This window comes from Homo sapiens, chromosome 8 (genome assembly GCF_000001405.40).
Source record: "Homo sapiens chromosome 8, GRCh38.p14 Primary Assembly".
NCBI lineage: Eukaryota > Metazoa > Chordata > Mammalia > Primates > Hominidae > Homo > Homo sapiens.
Window position 1 is genome coordinate 110989694 of NC_000008.11, and position 18307 is coordinate 111008000.

Here is an 18307-nt window from a genome sequence, read left to right on the forward strand (position 1 = left end):
TAACTAAAAATATGTTTTGCTGAGATTCTTTGAAATTTTTCTCTTACCATAATTTTCAATTATTTTTACCATCCATTGATAAAATTCATGTTATACCTATTACCATAATGTTTGTCAAATGGTGGTTTTTAATTTATACTATATTTTACATTAGTTGTAATACTACTATAATAAAGAAATTTCCCTTATTTTTTAAAAAAAGTATGCATTACATTGCTCATGTACATTAGTGTAGATTCATGAATTCTGATTTTATTTTTTGTGTAATACTCTAGTATGGACCATTATCTTTTGTGGCTCATATTGTCTCATGTTTGGTTGGACATTATGAACCTCTTAAATTGATTTTCTATCTATTACACAACTTCATCATGCTTTGAATACTTTCATACGTTTTGGGACCATTCTTATATTGGTTCTAGTTCCATTTTGAACATTTGTATGCTACTCCTGCAATTATCCATTTCTCCAATGAGTCTGGTTTCTAATTCTGGAGATGGAAATTCACAAAATAATATCCAGGTCTTAGATATACTCATTGAGTTGTCACTACTTATCGGTCTTCTCAGGGAATAGAGATAAATGCATCACACATGCATACACACACACATACACATACACATACACACACATCTCTCTCTCTCTCTCTCCCCCACCTCCCCTCCCTCCACCTGAGTTCACACTGACACCTGGTCCACAAGGTTTATTTTAGCCTTCATTTTTAAATTTTTATCTGCTTTATCTGACAGTGAAAAATCTACCTCTTATTATCCACATTTTGTTTGTTTAATTCTAGAATATAGATTAAATAGTTGTGGAATTGCTAATCTATACCCCATGCAAAGCAAGCTACTTACTGCAACAACACAGTTGCTTATAGTTCTTTCTTTTAGTTTTATCAGATATAGAGAAAATACCATTTTCCAAAGTTACTTAAGTTAGTTCTTTTCTTCACTACCTCCACTCTCTTTTGTGTGCAATTATGATATGCATTTGTACTATGTTAGGTTCATTTGCTTTTGTGTGTTTTTCATTTTGGATCCTCTTCTCCAACTTGATTTTAATTATTGTTCTTTGAGCCTGTGAAACTAACCACTATAGGCTTTAGTTTTAAAATATTGATAGGCCTCTTACATTTGTTTTTGCCTTATTTCTCTGGCCATTATAAACTTATTGAAGATAGAGATCAGAGAGATTTCATGTAAGTTCTTTTCTCCGAAGTGCTTGGGAAACATACAGACTTTGATAACCACTTATTTCTTAATGATTACAAACAGAAGAGAAATCTGAGTATCTGCACTATTTTCTCACAATAATTTCATGAACAAAACCAAGAGTAGAGATAGGTAATTTAAGGAATGGCACAGTCTTGGAACAAACTGCTTTGCATTCAAATCTTAGCTCCGAAACATAATAGCTTTGTAACCTGGATACAGTAAAATGACATATTTGAACTAGTTTTCCCTTCCATTAAAATGCAGATACTGTTAATTGTGATAATGGAATATGATAACGTATAAAAAGGTATCTCTCAGGAACTGCTGTTTGGTAACGTATCAGATATTACATATGAAATAAACATATGTGCTGTGTTCTTACAACCACGTGATTGTTACTCATAATATGTTTAGCAAAGTGTGTTGCAATAGAAGTGGGGGACTATATGCATTTTTTTCTAAAAAAAAGTCCTTTCAAAATTGTTACCAAAAGAAAATCGAAAGCTCTTTCAATCTGTCAAAATATTTTCTATTGCAAATGGCCACCTATTAATCTAAAGAGGAATTTAAATAATATCCAACACAATAATAGAGGAAAAGGCTATAATTTAGAAGTAAAAGAATATTCTAATCTAATGATCACTTATTTTTTTCTCATAAAATTGACTCCTACACTATTAAAGGTCAAGTCCATGTTTGTACAAAGGAGCTTTTTAAATAAACACTAAAGAGGATTTTCCAACCCTTTAAATTGTTAAATCAAGAGATATAATTTTTCATACAATAACAAGGCTTTTAACTAATACTATGAGAGTTAATAATAATCTTCCTACAACTAATATCACACCAAATATCCAGTTTATCATTCATTCATTTGTGAATTCAGCCATTTCTTATGGAGTTTTCACTACCTGTGAGGCATTGACTTAATTCATTGTGGTATAGAAATGAAAGGCATTGTCCATGACCTACATACTACTGAGGAGGGTATATATGTCAGGGTATTCTTACATACAAATTATCTGTATAGCATATCTTTTCAAAGTTACATAGATATAACAGAATTAAATCAATGTTTTCTTTTTATTTTTTTAATACAAATAATGGATTCCTTACAGTAGGTAATAGGTAAAAACACTTAGAAAAACTCGCAACAATTAACTCTGCAATTTAATATAATAATGGACTCAAGCTTGAAAACTGCTGATCAGATAACTTAGGTGGAATGTTTCTTAACCTGGGTAAACTTAAACAATATTATGTTTCATTATTGTTACAGCTTATATTTAAGAATTGACTTTCTGTACATTGATAGTAGATTAATTTCCCAATGTTTTTCTCTGTTACGGAGAGATGGAGAAAAGAGTAGAGTGAGAAAAATATTGTGTAAGGTCCTCATGGGAAAGTTTGCTTATTTTCAAGTCAAAACCTCACTTTGGAATGTTGACACAAATAGTATTGACCAAGAAGGCCTTAACATTGTTTCTCTCAGTTTGGCTAAACTTTAGACAGGTTTCTTCCTGACTGTACGCCCCTGAACTCCCAAACATCTACTTGCAGAAAACTTGCAATTATGAACACTTTCTTTTCCCCTTTAAGATGTACATCTTATTCTAGTCTCTGGCCAGTTCCACAACCCAGAAACCCCTTTCTCAAGGAAGATACTGCTATACTTGTCATTTGTGACTGGCTTATTGCACTTAGCTTAATGGTCTCCAGGTTCATCCACGTTGTCAGACCTGGAAGAATTTCCTTCTTTCTAAGGTTGAATAATATTTCACTGTATGCATATGCTACATTTTCTTTATATAAGATATCTAAAATAGTCAAACTCATAGAAGGGAGTAGAATGGTTGTTGCTGGGGGCTTGAGGGAGGAGGAAAGTGGAAGGTGTTTAATGGGTATAAAGTTCCAGTTAGATAAGATAATAAGCTCTAGAGATCTGCTGTACAGCCTGGTGACTATACTTAACAACACTATATTATACACTTAAAAACTTTGTCAAGAGGGAAGATCTTGGGTTAAGTGTTTGTAATACACACACACACACACACACACACACGCATAAACATATACACACAGGCATGCAAAAACAACAAGAAAAAATACTTACACAAGAAAGAGCATAGAGAAGCTCTTGGAGGTTATGGATATGATTATAACCTTAATTGTGGTAATGGTTTCATAAGTATATACATATGTTCAAATTATCAAATTGTAGCCATTAAATATGTGCAGTTTTTTTTTTAATCTATTACAGCTCAACAAAGCTCTAAGAAAGAAAGAGCCCCTGTCGCCAATTATGCAAGGGAGTGTAGAAGCCTTTTGTAAACAATCAGCCATTACACAATATAGATGGCCTGATCACTTTGAACAAGCTCCGCCCTAATGTCCTCCAGTATTTTTCCAGTAGCTCACCACAGCACTTAAAATCTCTTTTGTTACATATACTATTGTTTTAAAATGTGAACAATTAAAAAAAATCTATGGAGTAAATTTTAAATAATCTTTCAACCACCTTTTTCACTCTCACTCAAAATTTGATGATTATTTATTAGAATTACTTCAATATTTTTACATACATGCAAACATACAAATAAAATAGTTTTGATTCATTTATTATTTGTTCAGAATGAAATTATGTTTCATTGTGTTCTACTTTTTCTTTTACTCAGTTAACATTATATTTTGAAGATATTCTAGGTTGAAGCACAAAGACATACTTTATTATTTTAATCTTTTCTATAATACCAAATTGTCTAAATTGGCCACAGATATTTTAAGCATCCTTCTAGTGCTCAATATTTAGTAAGTTTTTTTAATTTTACTTTTCCATAAGTTATTGGGGTACAGGTGGTATTTTGTTACATGAGTAAGTTCTTTAGTGGAGATTTGTGAGAACCTGGTTCACCCATCACTCGAGCAGTATACACTGCACCATATTTGTTGTCTTTTATCCCTACCCCCCTCCCACTCTTTTCCCCAAGACCCCAAAGTCCATTGCATCATTCTTATGCCTTTGCGTCCTCATAGCTTAGCTCCCACATATCAGTGAGAACATACAATGTTTGGTTTTCCATTCCTGATTTACTTCACTTAGAATAATAGTCTCTAAGCTCATCTAGGTCATTGCAAATGCTGTTAATTCATTCCTTTTTATGGCTGAGTAGTATTCCTAACTGTGAGATATATATATATATATATACACACACACACACACACACACACATATATGATATATATGATGTATATGATGTTATCTTCTATAACTTTTATAGTTTCAGTTCTTAGGTTTAAGTCCTTAATCCATTTTGAGTTGATTTTGTATAATGTCAGAGATGAGGATCCAGTTTCATCCTCCTGCATGTGTCTAGCCAATTATCCCAGCACCATTTTGAGAAAAGGGAGTCCTTTCTCCACTTTATGTTTTTGTTTGCTTTGTCAAAGATCAGTTGGCTGTAAGTATTTGGGTTTATTTCTGGGCTCTCTATTCTGTTCCATTGGTCTATGTGCCTATTTTTATACCAGTACCATGCCATTTTGGTGACTATGGCCTTATTGTATAGTTTGAAATCAGATCTTCAACATAGTACTGGAGGTCTTAGCCAGAGCAATCTGACAAAAGAATGAGATAAAGGGCATCCAAATCAGTAAAGAGAAAGTCAAACTGTCCCTGTTTGCTGGCGATATGATTGTTTGCCTTGAAAACCCTAAGGACTCCTCCAGAAAGCTCCTAGAACTGACAAAATAATTCTGCAAAGTTTCCAGATACAAGATGAATGTACACAAATCAGTAGCTCTTCTACTACATCAATAGTGACCAGAGAATCAAGCCAAGAACTCAACCTCTTTTACAATAGCTGCCAAAAAAATAAAAATAAAATACCTAGGCATATACCTAACAAAGGAGTCAAAATACCTCTACAAGGAAAACCACAAAACACTGCTAAAAGATATAATAGATGACACAAACAAATGGAAACACATCCCATGCTCACTGATGGGTAGAATCAATATTGTGAAAATGACCATATTGCCAAAAGCAAGCCACAAATTCAATGCAATCTCCATCAAATACTACCATCATTCCTCACAGAGTTAGAAAAAACAATTATAAAACTCATATGGAACCAAAAAAGAGCCTGCATAGCCAAAGTAAGACTAAACAAAAAGAACAAATTGGGAGGCATCACACAACCTGATTTTAGTAAGTTTTTGAATGTTTCTGAACATGTAAGAAATAGTCTCAGTTTATTACAACATCTAAGCAATATATTCATTCCCCATGGATTTTAAAGAACACAAAACTCACTTCCCTTTTCTATTTGTGTATTATTGTATTATAATCATGCAGTTTTATTTACTGTGACTCTCAAATACGTTTTGAAAACTAATAATATGACTTTTCCCTCATCATTTAAAATTAAATTTCTATTTTTAGCTTTGTTTGTTGCATACTATTTACACTTCGCAATCAAGCCATTTTAGATTTTCTACAGCCATACTTACTGTCACATAAATCTTTTCCCTTCATATTTCTATCATTTATTGTTAGACGTGTTTCAAAGACACTTAATTAATTGTATAAAAAATATGATTGTTTTTAACTTTTGTGTGTGTTTAATGACTCATTCTAAAGACAAGAGGCTACAATTACCTTGAAAAACAGTAAGATAAGTTTTATAAAAAGATCAAAAATTAATTATATTAATATAGTATCCAACAGTTAGTAGGTGGTTTAGAAAACATCTAGATATTTCCTCTACTTAATAAATAAGTCTGTTGGGGGGGAATATTTGCAAACCACACAAATTAGTTAATATCTGGTAATTAGTTCTTATCCAAAATATATAGGGAACTCAATTGAATACCAAGAAAACAATCTGATTTAAAAATGAGCAAAGGACATGAATATACATTTATCCAAAGAAGACAGACAAAAGGCCAAAAGGTATCTAAAAAAATTCACAACATAAGTAATTATCAGGAAAATCCTAATTAAAACCACAATGAGATATCACTTAATACCTGTTAGAATGTCTATTGTCCAAAAGACAAAAGATTACAAGTTAGAAGAGGATGTAGAGAAAAGAGAATCCATATACAAAACTGTTAGTCATAATGTAAATTAGTACAATCATTATGAAAAATATAGTATAATGGTTCCCAAAAAAAATTAAAAGTAGAACTACCATATGACCCAGAAACCCCAGCACTGGGTAGTTACACAAAGGAAATGAAATCAGTATGTCAAAGCAATATCTGCTTTCCCATGTTCTTGCATCATTATTCACATATTTTCCATACTTGATAAATAAATATGTTCTATGTCTGTGATAGCTTATGACTTCTCTTAGAAAATGCATTCCATTTTACAGGAGTCAGTAATACATTTCCCAAAACTGCTAGACGTTTATTTTTTTCTTTTGTTTGAACTCACATCTTGATTTCAATATTTTATATTTCTGGGATATAGCCCAGATCCCAAGAACTTAGATACGAAATTTTGCTTTACTCCTAACTTAGTGATTTCCTTTCATGTTTTTAATTCATAAGTTATTTACTTTTCCTATCATGAGGCATCACGTTTAAAAAAATGTATTTCTATAACATAATAATAATTTGTGCTTTTTGTAGGAGTATAAAAATTATGAGTAATGGCTTGATAAGAAATATGAAAATATTTTGGATTTTATGAAAAATACAAGCTATGTGAAAATAACAATACCTGTGAAAGCCTAATTTTGTTTTTATTTAAAATATTTTTATTGCAATGATATACCAAAAAGAGAGTGTTCATTTGCAAACATTGTTAAAATTGGTTATAGAGCCTTGATTAATTGAACTGGTTAGCCGCTTTATTTTCTTTGGATATTTCTAGTGTTTAGCTATGAAGTTATAGTCATATTTATATTTGCATATAGTCATATTTATTTTGCTACATAATTGCCTAAGGTTTGGGTGTTAATTGCACTGTTGAAACTAAACATTCTTCTTTCTGCAGCATACCAACTTTCTCTTGTTTGGAGTTTCAGTCCCTAGTGTTTTTAGAAACAATGCTGCTTCTCCTCATGGTCATTTGGAAGACAAATTTAGAGATGACATAATTTGTTTTTGATTGCAGTAAACTAAATTAGTCTGTTTCTGACAGAGCCTCTCAGGAGACTGCAGCTATGAAGTCAGAATTCTTAGTCCAGATTAATCTCTTTCAGCAGTAAACGTAAAACATGATAATATTTCAAAGTTATATTTGGCACATGACACTCCAGTGGTTGATTATAATTGGATCTGCATTGCTGATATATTGCAAAGACTGATTACACACATGAATAGTGTTATTTTATTGTTATTTTGAAAATTTGGTGAAACAAAAGAATCCTAGTATATAATAACTAAAAAACATATAAATAACTAGAATTTTGAGACTCATATTAGCTGAATTGCCAAATACCAGAATATGTGGCAGAAGTGAAAGTAATATTTGTTGCTTTTTCTTCCAAATTTTTTTTTCACACTATTATGCCTTGCTGGAAAACAATAGTATCTTGTTTTGATGATTAGTCAAAAATATTCAATACCATGGCCTAAGATAGGAAGCACTAAAGTAACTTTTTCTGGAAAAGTAGAATGTGAACTCATCCCTGGAGAACTAAAAAATTTGGACACATGAGGCAAATAAGTGGTGGGGACCATTACATAAATAAATAGCTAAATTTGAGGAAGCTCTTTAGAAATATATAGAATTGTGTTTCAGATTAATGTGTCCCTTTGTAGTGGAAACTTTGAGTGACAGTTTAGAGAATATGCTACCTTAGAAATTCTACTATTGGCTTATAGTCTGTTCTTTGGCTTGTAGGCTTCCATGCCTAGTTTTTCAGTATCTTCTATTTTATTTTTCAGATGTAAAACACTGAAACACAAAATATGGAAAGAAAGAGACTGAAAAATACCCAAATTGAATAATAAAAGTTCAAGAGGCTTTTGTGTGTAAATTTGGCTTGGTGAACATAGAAGAAAAACAAATGTTTCCTGTTACCAAACCAAAGTATTAATAACTAGAAGGCTTGTGCTATCTCAATGGAGTGATATTGGTCAATGATTTCAAAATTTCACATTTCATAAGCTAAATTTTTGGAGTTTGTATCTCAATATACGTGTATTTAATTACGTTTGTAAATTACATGATATGCAGTAAACAAATTTATTATTTGCTTTTAAAACAAAAATATAGTAATTGAAGAGCATGAGATTAAAAAAAAAAACATAAAATTCCCCAAATTTCTGTTTGTTATACCAATGAATACACTCTAGGATGTATACATCACAACTTAAGAACTGCTTCTCTGGAGCATATCTCATAAACTTTACAAATTCTCATGCACAAGGGGCGCTCTGCTCCAGATGTTCCTTGGATGGGCAAAGGGAACAATTTCTTGTAAAATTCATATGGAGGATATTTTCTAAATAAGTACAGTTACCCTTTTTTGTGTCATTGAAATGACAAAGCACATTAAGTAATGCAACTTATAACCAGATTGCGTTATTTTGTTAAAATGTGCAGAGGGTACATTTTAAAATATAGCTTCAACTAGAAACTATATATAGATGAGTATAGGGGTTAAAAGAAAGTCTGTCACCAGAGTACATTTTCATAACCACATGGTTATACTCAATAGAATTGGAAAGACTTAGCCGGGGGCGGTGGATCACGCCTGTAATCCCAGCACTTTGGGAGGCTAAGGTGGGCGGATCACGAGGTCAGGAGATCGAGACCATCCTGGATAACACGTCTCTATTAAAAATACAAAAAAATTAGACGGGCATGGTGGCGGGCGCCTGTAGTCCCAGCTACTCTGGAGGCTGAGGCAGGAGAATGGCGTGAACCCGGGAGGCGGAGCTTGCAGCTTGCAGTGAGATGAGATCGCGCCACTGAACTCCAGCCTGGGTGACTCCGTCTCAAAAAAAAAAAAAACACAAAAAGAATTGGAAAGGCTTATTATTTGTATATCTGTGATTGAGAATGATAAATACTATCCATAATTTCTGAAATGTTATTTATACTCAATTTCTAAAGAGGAAAGGATCACAGTGATATTAATTGCTGAGTCTAGAAAATTTGCCATTCAATCTTTATTCCTGTAGGTTTTTTTTTCCCCATTGTCTCACTTTGTTGCTGAGGCCGGAGTGCAGTGGCACCGTGTCGACTCACTGCAACCTCCGTCTCCTGGGTTCAAGCAATTCTCCTGCCTCAGCCTCCCGAGTAGCTGGGAATATAGGCGCCCATCACCACACCTGGCTAGTTTTATATATATTTAGTAGAGATGGGGTTTCACCATGTTGGCCAGGCTGGTGTCGAACTCCTGACCTCAGATTATCCACCCACCTTGGCCTCCCAAAGTGCTGGGATTACAGGTGTGAGCCACTGAGCCTATCCATCTGTAGTTTTATAATATGATTTTTCTGTTCTTTTAAATTATTAGTTACATGGTTATCAACACAGTATGCTAAATATTTCAATCAGGAAGTAAATTCAAACAGTTATAATGAGTTTAAGTGTTAAAATTGCCCTGCAGTCTTATCAGTGACGTGATAATCAATTCTAGTTCATGAACCCTTGATTTGCACTATCCTATACAAATGCTATTAGCCACTAGAACATTTCCATCATCATAGCTCTATCGAACAATACTGCTTTAGTACTTTTTAGAACTTTTTATTCCTTTTACTCAGTTTGTATTTCAATATTTGCTTTTCCCCCCATGCATTCTAAATTAGTTAATTTTTTTTAATTTTAATAATGTATTTTATTTAACCCAATATATCAAAAGCATTATTTCACATATAATTACTATAAAATTATTGAGGTGGTTACATTAATTTTTTCATACCTTTTCATACTAACTCACATACATTTTAAACTTACAGTACCTCTGAATTTGGACTGGCCATATTCCAAGGTTAAATAGCCAAATGCTGCCAAACACTACATATTGGACAGTACAGCTCTAACTATAGCATCTCTTAACTTTTCCCTTGGCATTTCAGTGATTTTACCTAAATTTTATTCTGAGAAGCTGAGAAATAAGATCCCATGGTCTCTGTCTATAAAGGAAACAGCTCAATAGAGTTGTGAAGATGTCCAATATATACAAAATCTTACATATCTCAGAACATTCAAAAAGAGTCAGACCTATCAAAATGGTATCAAGAAAGCAAAAGGCTACAATGGGCAGATATTTTAAAATAAAATGCTAAGACTTTAAAAGTTTCATCATCATTGTTAACTTTATATTTTCTCTGCACTAACACTTTATCTGATGAGTTTTGAATCTCACATTTTAATTTTTCTGTGATTAAATTATAGGTTGGACATAATATATGCTATGACAGATAATGAGATATACAAGCAGCAGACTTACAAAATAAAAAGAACTAACTCCTACTAAGTTTATGACACACTATGCACTGTGCTAGGCACTTTCATATATTGTTTTATGTAACACTTGGCAACAACACCATGAATACTATTATTGACATTTAAAAGTGAGGAACAAAGAATTTAAGTAATTTCACCAAGTCTCATAGCTAATAGGTAAATGGTAGAGCCAGGATTTAGACCCAGAGGCAAAGTCTTCAAGTTTTCTTTTTTTTTTTTTAATTATACTTTAAGTTCTAGGGTACATGTGCACAACGTGCAGGTTTGTTACATATGTATACATGTGCCATGTTGGTGTGTTGTGCCCATTAACTTGTCATTTACATTAGGTATATCTCCTAATGCTATCCCTCCCCCTTCCTCCACCCCACGACAGGTCCCAGTGCGTGATGTTCCCCTACCTGTGTCCAAATGTTCTCATTGTTCAATTCCCACCTAAGAGTGAGAACATGCAGTGTTTGGTTTTTCGTCCTTGTGATAGTTTGCTGAGAATGATGGTTTCCAACTTCATCCATGTCCCTGCAAAGGACATGAACTCATCCTTTTCTATGGCTGCATAGTAGTCCATGGTGTATATGTGCCACATTTTCTTAATCCAGTCTATCGTCAATGGACATTTGGGTTGGTTCCAAGTCTTTGCTATTGTGAATAGTGCTGCAATAAACATACGTGTGCATGTGTCTTTATAGCAGCATGATTTATAATCCTTTGGGTATATACCCAGTAATGGGATGGCTGGGTCAAATGGTATTTCTAGTTCTAGATCCTTGAGGAATCACCACACTGTCTTTCACAATGGTTGAACTAGTTTACAGTCCCACCAACAGTGTAAAAGTGTTCCTCTTTCTCCACATCCTCTCCAGCACCTGTTGTTTCCTGACTTTTTAATGATCACCATTCTAACTGGTGTGAGATGGTATCTCATTGTGGTTTTGATTTGCATTTCTCTGATGGCCAGTGATGATGAGCATTTTTTCATGTGTCTGTTGGCTGCATAAATGTCTTCTTTTGAGAAGTGTCTGTTCATCTCCTTCACCCACTTTTTGATGAGGTTGTTTTTTTCTTGTAAATTTGTTTGAGTTCATTGTAGATTCTGGATATTAGCCCTTTGTCAGATGAGTAGATTGCAAAAATTTTCTCCCATTCTGTAGGTTGCCTGTTCACTCTGATGGTAGTTTCTTTTGCTGTGCAGAAGCTCTTGAGTTTAGTTAGATCCCATTTGTCAATTTTGGCTTTTGTTGCCATTGCTTTTGGTGTTTTAGACATGAAGTCCTTGCCCACGCCTATGTCCTGAATGGTATTGCCTACGTTTTCTTCTAGGGTTTTTATGGTTTTAGGTCTAACATTTAAGTCTTTAATCCACCTTGAATTAATTTTTGTATAAGGTGTAAGGAAGGGATCCAATTTTAGCTTTCTACATATGGCTAGCCAGTTTTCCCAGCACCATTTATTAAATAGGGAACCCTTTCCCCATTTCTCGTTTTTGTCAGGTTTGTCAAAGATCAGATTGTTTAACAAGTGTTGCTAAATGCTTTCAAGAGACCACAACTTTGCTAGATGCTATGTATTGTCAAGTTTCTGTCAGAAAATTTTAAGACATGGTTCTTTTGTTCTGGCAATTTATATGTTATGAATAATCTCACTAACAGTCATTTTGTTAAATGTGTATTGATTTGATAAATATTATGTGTGATCCATAAAATGTATGCATATATTTCTAATTTATTTTGAATTAACTAGATAGACACATAAATTCACATATAGAGTGATGTTTTCTTTAGATGATAGTTTATATATAAAGGAGAGATGTGACTATAAGACTTCAGGTTACACTTGGTAGACAAGGGCATTAAGTTCTGACTAAAACCTGACCATGATGAGCTTCTTCATTGGAACTGATTAATGATAAGTCAAAGGATGCTGAGTAGCAAAGCAATTCAAGTACAGCATTAGAAGCAGAGAGAAAACAGAAAAAAGTGGAAAATGGTTTGTTGGTTTACTTTTTCAATCTATTTATACAGTGGGGTTAAATTGTATCTGCTAAATAGTTTTGGTTCAAAAATAGTATAACCCATGGGAGTACGTTTTAAAAGATCAGGATCTTGTGCTGTACTTATTGGCTGTCCACATGCAAAAAATTAATCGGATCTTATGCCTTTTGCCAAAACAGGCTCAAAATAGATCACACACCTAAATGTAAAACACAAAACTATAGGACTCTTAGAAGATAGCATAGCAGAAAAACTTAGATGACCTTAGATATGGTAATGACTTCTTAGATACTACATCAAAAGCATGATTCATGAAAAAATAATTCATAAGCTGGATTTCATTAAAATTAAACATGTCTGCTCTGCAAAAGACAATGTCAAGAGAACAAGAAGACATTATAGACTGGGAAAAAGTAGTTGCAAAAGAAATATATAATAAAGGACTGTTATCTAAAAGATACCAAGAGTTTTCAAAACTCAACAATAAGAAAACAAAAACACTTGATTAAAAAACGGGCCTTGACAGACATATTATCGAAAATACATAAAGGTAGCAAATAAACATATGAAATAATTCCCACCTTATGTCATAATAAAGGGAAATAAAAGTTAAAACAACCATGAGATATTGCTTCATTCCTATTAGAACAACCAAAATCTAGAACACAGACACCACAACATTCTAGCAAGGATGTGGAACAAAAGCATCACTTATTGCTGGTCGCAATGTAAAATGGCTCAGTCACTTTTGAAGAGATTGGTAGTTTTTTATAAAAATAAACATACTCTTAGCATTCAGTCCACCAAGTGTGCTCTATGGTGTCTACTCAAAGGAGTTGCAAACTTATGTTCACACAAAACCTGCACATGGATATTTATAGTAGTTTTATTCATAATTGCCCTAACATGAAGGCAACAAAGATACACTTAGGAGATGAATGGATACATAAAATACGGTACTTCTAGAATATGAACTATTACTATTCAGTGCTAAAAAGAAATGAGTTCTCAAGCCATTGAAGGACTTTAAATGCATGTTACTAAATGAAAGAAGCCAATCTGAAAAGAGTACATACCTTATACCAGCTATATGACATTCTGGAATAGATAAAGCTATGGAAAGAGCAAAAAGATAAATGATTACTAGGAGTTGGCAGTGGGCAGGTAGGAGGGGAGATGATGAATAGTTGGTACACAGAGTATTTTAAGGTCAATGAAAGTGCTTTGTGTGATACTATAGTGGTGGATACATGTCAGGGTAAATTGTCCAAACTCACAGAATGTACATCAACAGCAAACCCAAATGTAAATGATAAACTTTTGGTGATTTTGTGTCAATGTTGATTCATCAACTGTAATGAATATACCACTCTAGTTGGGGGATGTTGATAATGGGGGAAGGAATGCACGTGTTGGGTAGAGGGTATATGGGAAATCTCGGTACCTTCTCAAGTTCGCTTTGAAACTAAACCTGTTCTAAAAAACCCATTAATTCTTAAATAACATGTATGTTATTATCAAAGGAAAGGCTTTTGTTTAAGCATGAGTTAGATATGTGTACCGAAAGGCAAGAAACCAGAAGAGAGAAATATGATTGTCAGAACAATCAAAGTAAAGCTAAGGGTCAGTAAATGTGGAGGCAAATGTATTATCTATGTAATAACGTAAAATATTTGGAAAATGAAGTTAGAATATCTGGATTGGAAGTCACCTCCCTCATCTATTCCTCACTTCTCACTCTTTATTTGCTCTTTCTACTTATCTCAGCCAAAAACTTGAAAATACCTTATAGGGAATGTCAGAAACTGGTTTCATTATAATGTTCCAGCCTCATTTTAAAACACTTCCACACTTTCTGTGCTATGACCATTCTGTGCTTTTTTTTCTCTTTCAAATGCCTAGGATCTCTCTCATTTCTAAGACTTTACAAATACTATAATTTCTATTGAAATACTTTCCATCATCCTCTTTATCTTCTTAAACCGCTATCTTTACAACATTAGTTTCCATGGAAAGCTTTTTTGACTTTTTACACTGTAGTAAGTACTCCTGTATTTGCTCCCATTAGTATCTAGCATTAATGCTACTTTAGTAGTTATTACAGTCTACTGGAATTTTCTACTCTGTATGGTGCCTATGATCTTCAAGAATCCTGAGGAAAGATTTCACAAATCACATTTATTACCTCTTATTTTTATAGCATTAGGTATACTAATTAATATTTTTAAAACTATTTGTTGAAAAACAAAATGCTTAGAGAATTTAAATAATACACAAAGTCACAGAGCTACTGACACTTAGGATACGGACAAAACAGCTTTACCTTCCTTCAGAGTTTTCTATCTCCAATGCAGAATCTTATTTGACCTTATATTATTACAGCTTTGTGTTGAAAGCGTATTTTCTCAAGTTCATGCTCCCTTTTACTATACCTGTGAGTGATACAAAATGAGAGTGTTTTAGGAGGGACAATATGTGGCATGTCTATTTATGCTAGAAGCCACTGTAAAATCTTATAGAGTGATTTAGGGATGATTTTTTAAAATAATATTTTGTTGGTAGATTTCAAAGCAAGCTTTTTTTTACAACTTTGCACATTCCATGGTCCATTGATATTAGTTGACATTTCAAGCAATGGTCTTAAATCTAGCTCCTCTACATTCAGTCTTTATTTCATTAATAATAGAAATGAGGAATACACTTTTTTTCTTGCCTAGTTCACTTAAAATTCAAAGACACAATTTTAGCCAAACACAATAGTAAAGATGTAGATGTGTGTATCAACAATAAAATATAACTTTATTTGGCCTTAAAAACAAGAAACAAAGTTTATTTTTTAAAGGTCTTTAAGTGGAAAGAACTGTTTATACATTCCTCTTTCCGCATTAAAGATACTTTTTACATGTATATCCTGAGGTATTTTTCATCAGAAAAAATATTTTAAAAATCTGAACTTTGTAAAAACTGTATTAGTGAATAACTCAATTTAGAGTTTTGTACGCACAAAAAATACGTGTCTACATACCGACAGGACTGGATGCCTATTGTCTTTATTCTCAAGCATCATTTCACTTATTCTGTAAATAAAACTTCTATGTCTTGTAAGGAACTCATCCATAAAGTTCAAATAAGGTAGAGATTGACTCTTAGCCACAGACTGTGTGCAGCTGTTCATGGGGCAACTGTGTTTACCTCAATATTGAGCATCTGACATGTGAGGGTTCAGTCAACGTCCAAATGTGTGATTTGATACATAGGAGAGAAGGCGTCAATGGTCTGAGGGTTGCCACAGACATCTTGTTCATTTTGTGTCTATAAAAATAAAATTAAGCAGAAGCAGTCATGAGATACTGTGGTAGGGATTTGAAATTTTTAGTCACCTAACATTTGAAAACGGCTTCTTTACAAGTGAATCTCAGTGTGGAAGAGAAATAAAGTAGATGTTTTCTCTTCACTATTCCCAAAAGCAAGACCATAAGATGTGAAGTATACATGACCAAATAATAGCCCAATTTGGGAAGCTTAATACTGAAAGAATAATGTAAAAATAGAGGAATAGAGGTTACTTAGAACAGTGAATTCAGAGTCCAGGCACATAGCAGTGAATATTCTGTGTTGTTCTAATTCTGTCACTACATTTTTCTTAGTCTAGGACCTACCCGGTGCATTGCAGCATATTTAAAATCTCTGGTTCCACATATTAAATGTTAATAGCAAATCCTCAAACCACAAATGGACCAATAAATTTCAAAAGGTCCCAAAGGCAGTCCCTAGTGAGAAATATTGTTTGGCCTTGCTGAGAAAATTTTTTGTTCCCTGCCTACTTTTTGAGTCTGGTTCTTGAAAATTCTTGCAAATTTTGTGAGCTACAAAATATTCTTTCCAACCATTTATTTACTGCTTGAATTAGCAAAACTTGATTTCTAATGTTGAAGACTGAAAACTTTAAATAATACAGACACAAATTCCTAACAGCATATTTGAATTCCAATGATGACAGTCATTTTTTTTCTTTATTTCTACACTTAGGTAGCATGAATCAATGGATTTTCCTTTTGGCCTATTACAGATCGAGTTGGGTTTCCGTCATGTCACCAAATGAAATATTCTTGATTAAAAATTTATGTCTAAAATGTCAATTTTGACCTGGAGAAAAAATGAATATAAACTTGAAATATTCTCGTTATATCGAGAGCTTTACCTGTGCTACTTCTACCACCTAAAAACTAAGCGTCAACTTTTGCTTTAGAGGTGTACTCACTGTCTGCTCTTAGAATCTCTTTTCGCATAAACATGCATATCTTTCTTTCATGTTTCATACAGGTCTCTGTCCAAATATTAGTTTATAAAAGACTATTCTGATGTTTATTTTTTTCACATTTTACTTTTACATATTATTGATTTATCTGGTTATATGCTTGTTGTCTGCTTCCTAGAGGTAGAAAGTCAGATCCATGAAAGAAAAAAATTGATTTTGTTTAAAGTTCCTTTTCTGGCACCTATAACACAATACTCCAAACATATAACAAATGCTAATATATATTGACATATGATTTAATAAATTAGGTGTACATGTTTATTTTTTATTTATACACATATACAATTGTCATTTTGGAGGAATTTGTATAACTCCAAGTAGGTAATATAGATAATTATGCTCCTCAATTGAAGACATATTATGATCATTCTAGATTTTAGATTCATTTCCATTTAGATTTCAGATTCATTTCCATTAATAGGATAAACTTTATCCTATTTTTTGATTGGACATTTTTATTATTGTTTAATGTAATTAAATTATACTAAAAATTCCTCCTTCTTTGTTATCTCCTTCTCTCTCAGGTGAATACTCATTTAATGTATTATTGAGATATATCTTCTGGTAATACATGTAACACTGTTTTTGTATGAATAGATTATTTTAATTAGCTCCAATTATATTGTTTTAGATTTTTCTTATTACATTTCTATATCTATGATTTTTAAATTTAATCACATTGCTGAATATATATTCATTTTGCTTTTGACTATTTAGTATTCTATATTATGCATCCAACATATATTTTATTTGTTATCCTATTAATGGAATTCCAGTGTATTTTTAGTTAACTGCTCCCACTAGCTAAATTACAATGAATACCTAAACACATATATGCTGTTAAAATTAATGGTCTTGCTGTATCATAGGTAACATGCATATTAAGGTTTAATATATATACTTTATGTATTTATTGATTATTTTTATTGTTTTTTTTTTTTTTGAGATCAAGTCTCGCTCTGTTGCTCAGGCTGGTGTGCAGTGGCATGATCTTGGCTCACTGCAACCTTTGTCTCCTGGGTTCAAGAGATTCTCCTGCCTCAGCCTCCCAAGTAGCTGGGACTACAGGTGCATGCCACCACGCCTGGCTAATTTTTGTATTTTTAGTAGAGACGGGGCTTTACCATGTTGGCCAGGCTGGTCTTGAACTCCTGACTTCAAGTGATCCGCCCGCCTTGGCCTCCCAAAGTGCTGGGATTACAGGTGAGAGCCACAATGCCCAGACACATTATTTATTTTTCTAACGAATGTACTGTTGATGTTTCTCTTCCAAAAGATATGATGTTGTGAAATACATGTCTGAAAATTAAAGTGTTTGCTTCATGCTATTCTGAATTTTAAGTAC

The 18307-nt window shown here is 33.0% G+C and overlaps 1 long non-coding RNA gene across 2 annotated transcripts in view; it reads right to left on the bottom strand.

The window, feature by feature from the left end:
- LINC01608 (long intergenic non-protein coding RNA 1608) overlaps positions 1–18307 on the bottom strand; it is an 89744-nt gene that overhangs the window by 52004 nt on the left and 19433 nt on the right. For both annotated transcript variants that reach the window (NR_125417.1, NR_125416.1), the window contains 3 exons: positions 15837–15956; positions 14968–15076; positions 13721–13757 (listed from right to left, as the gene is read on the bottom strand). This is a non-coding gene — a long non-coding RNA (long intergenic non-protein coding RNA 1608). The remainder of the gene's footprint in view (positions 1–13720; positions 13758–14967; positions 15077–15836; positions 15957–18307) is intronic.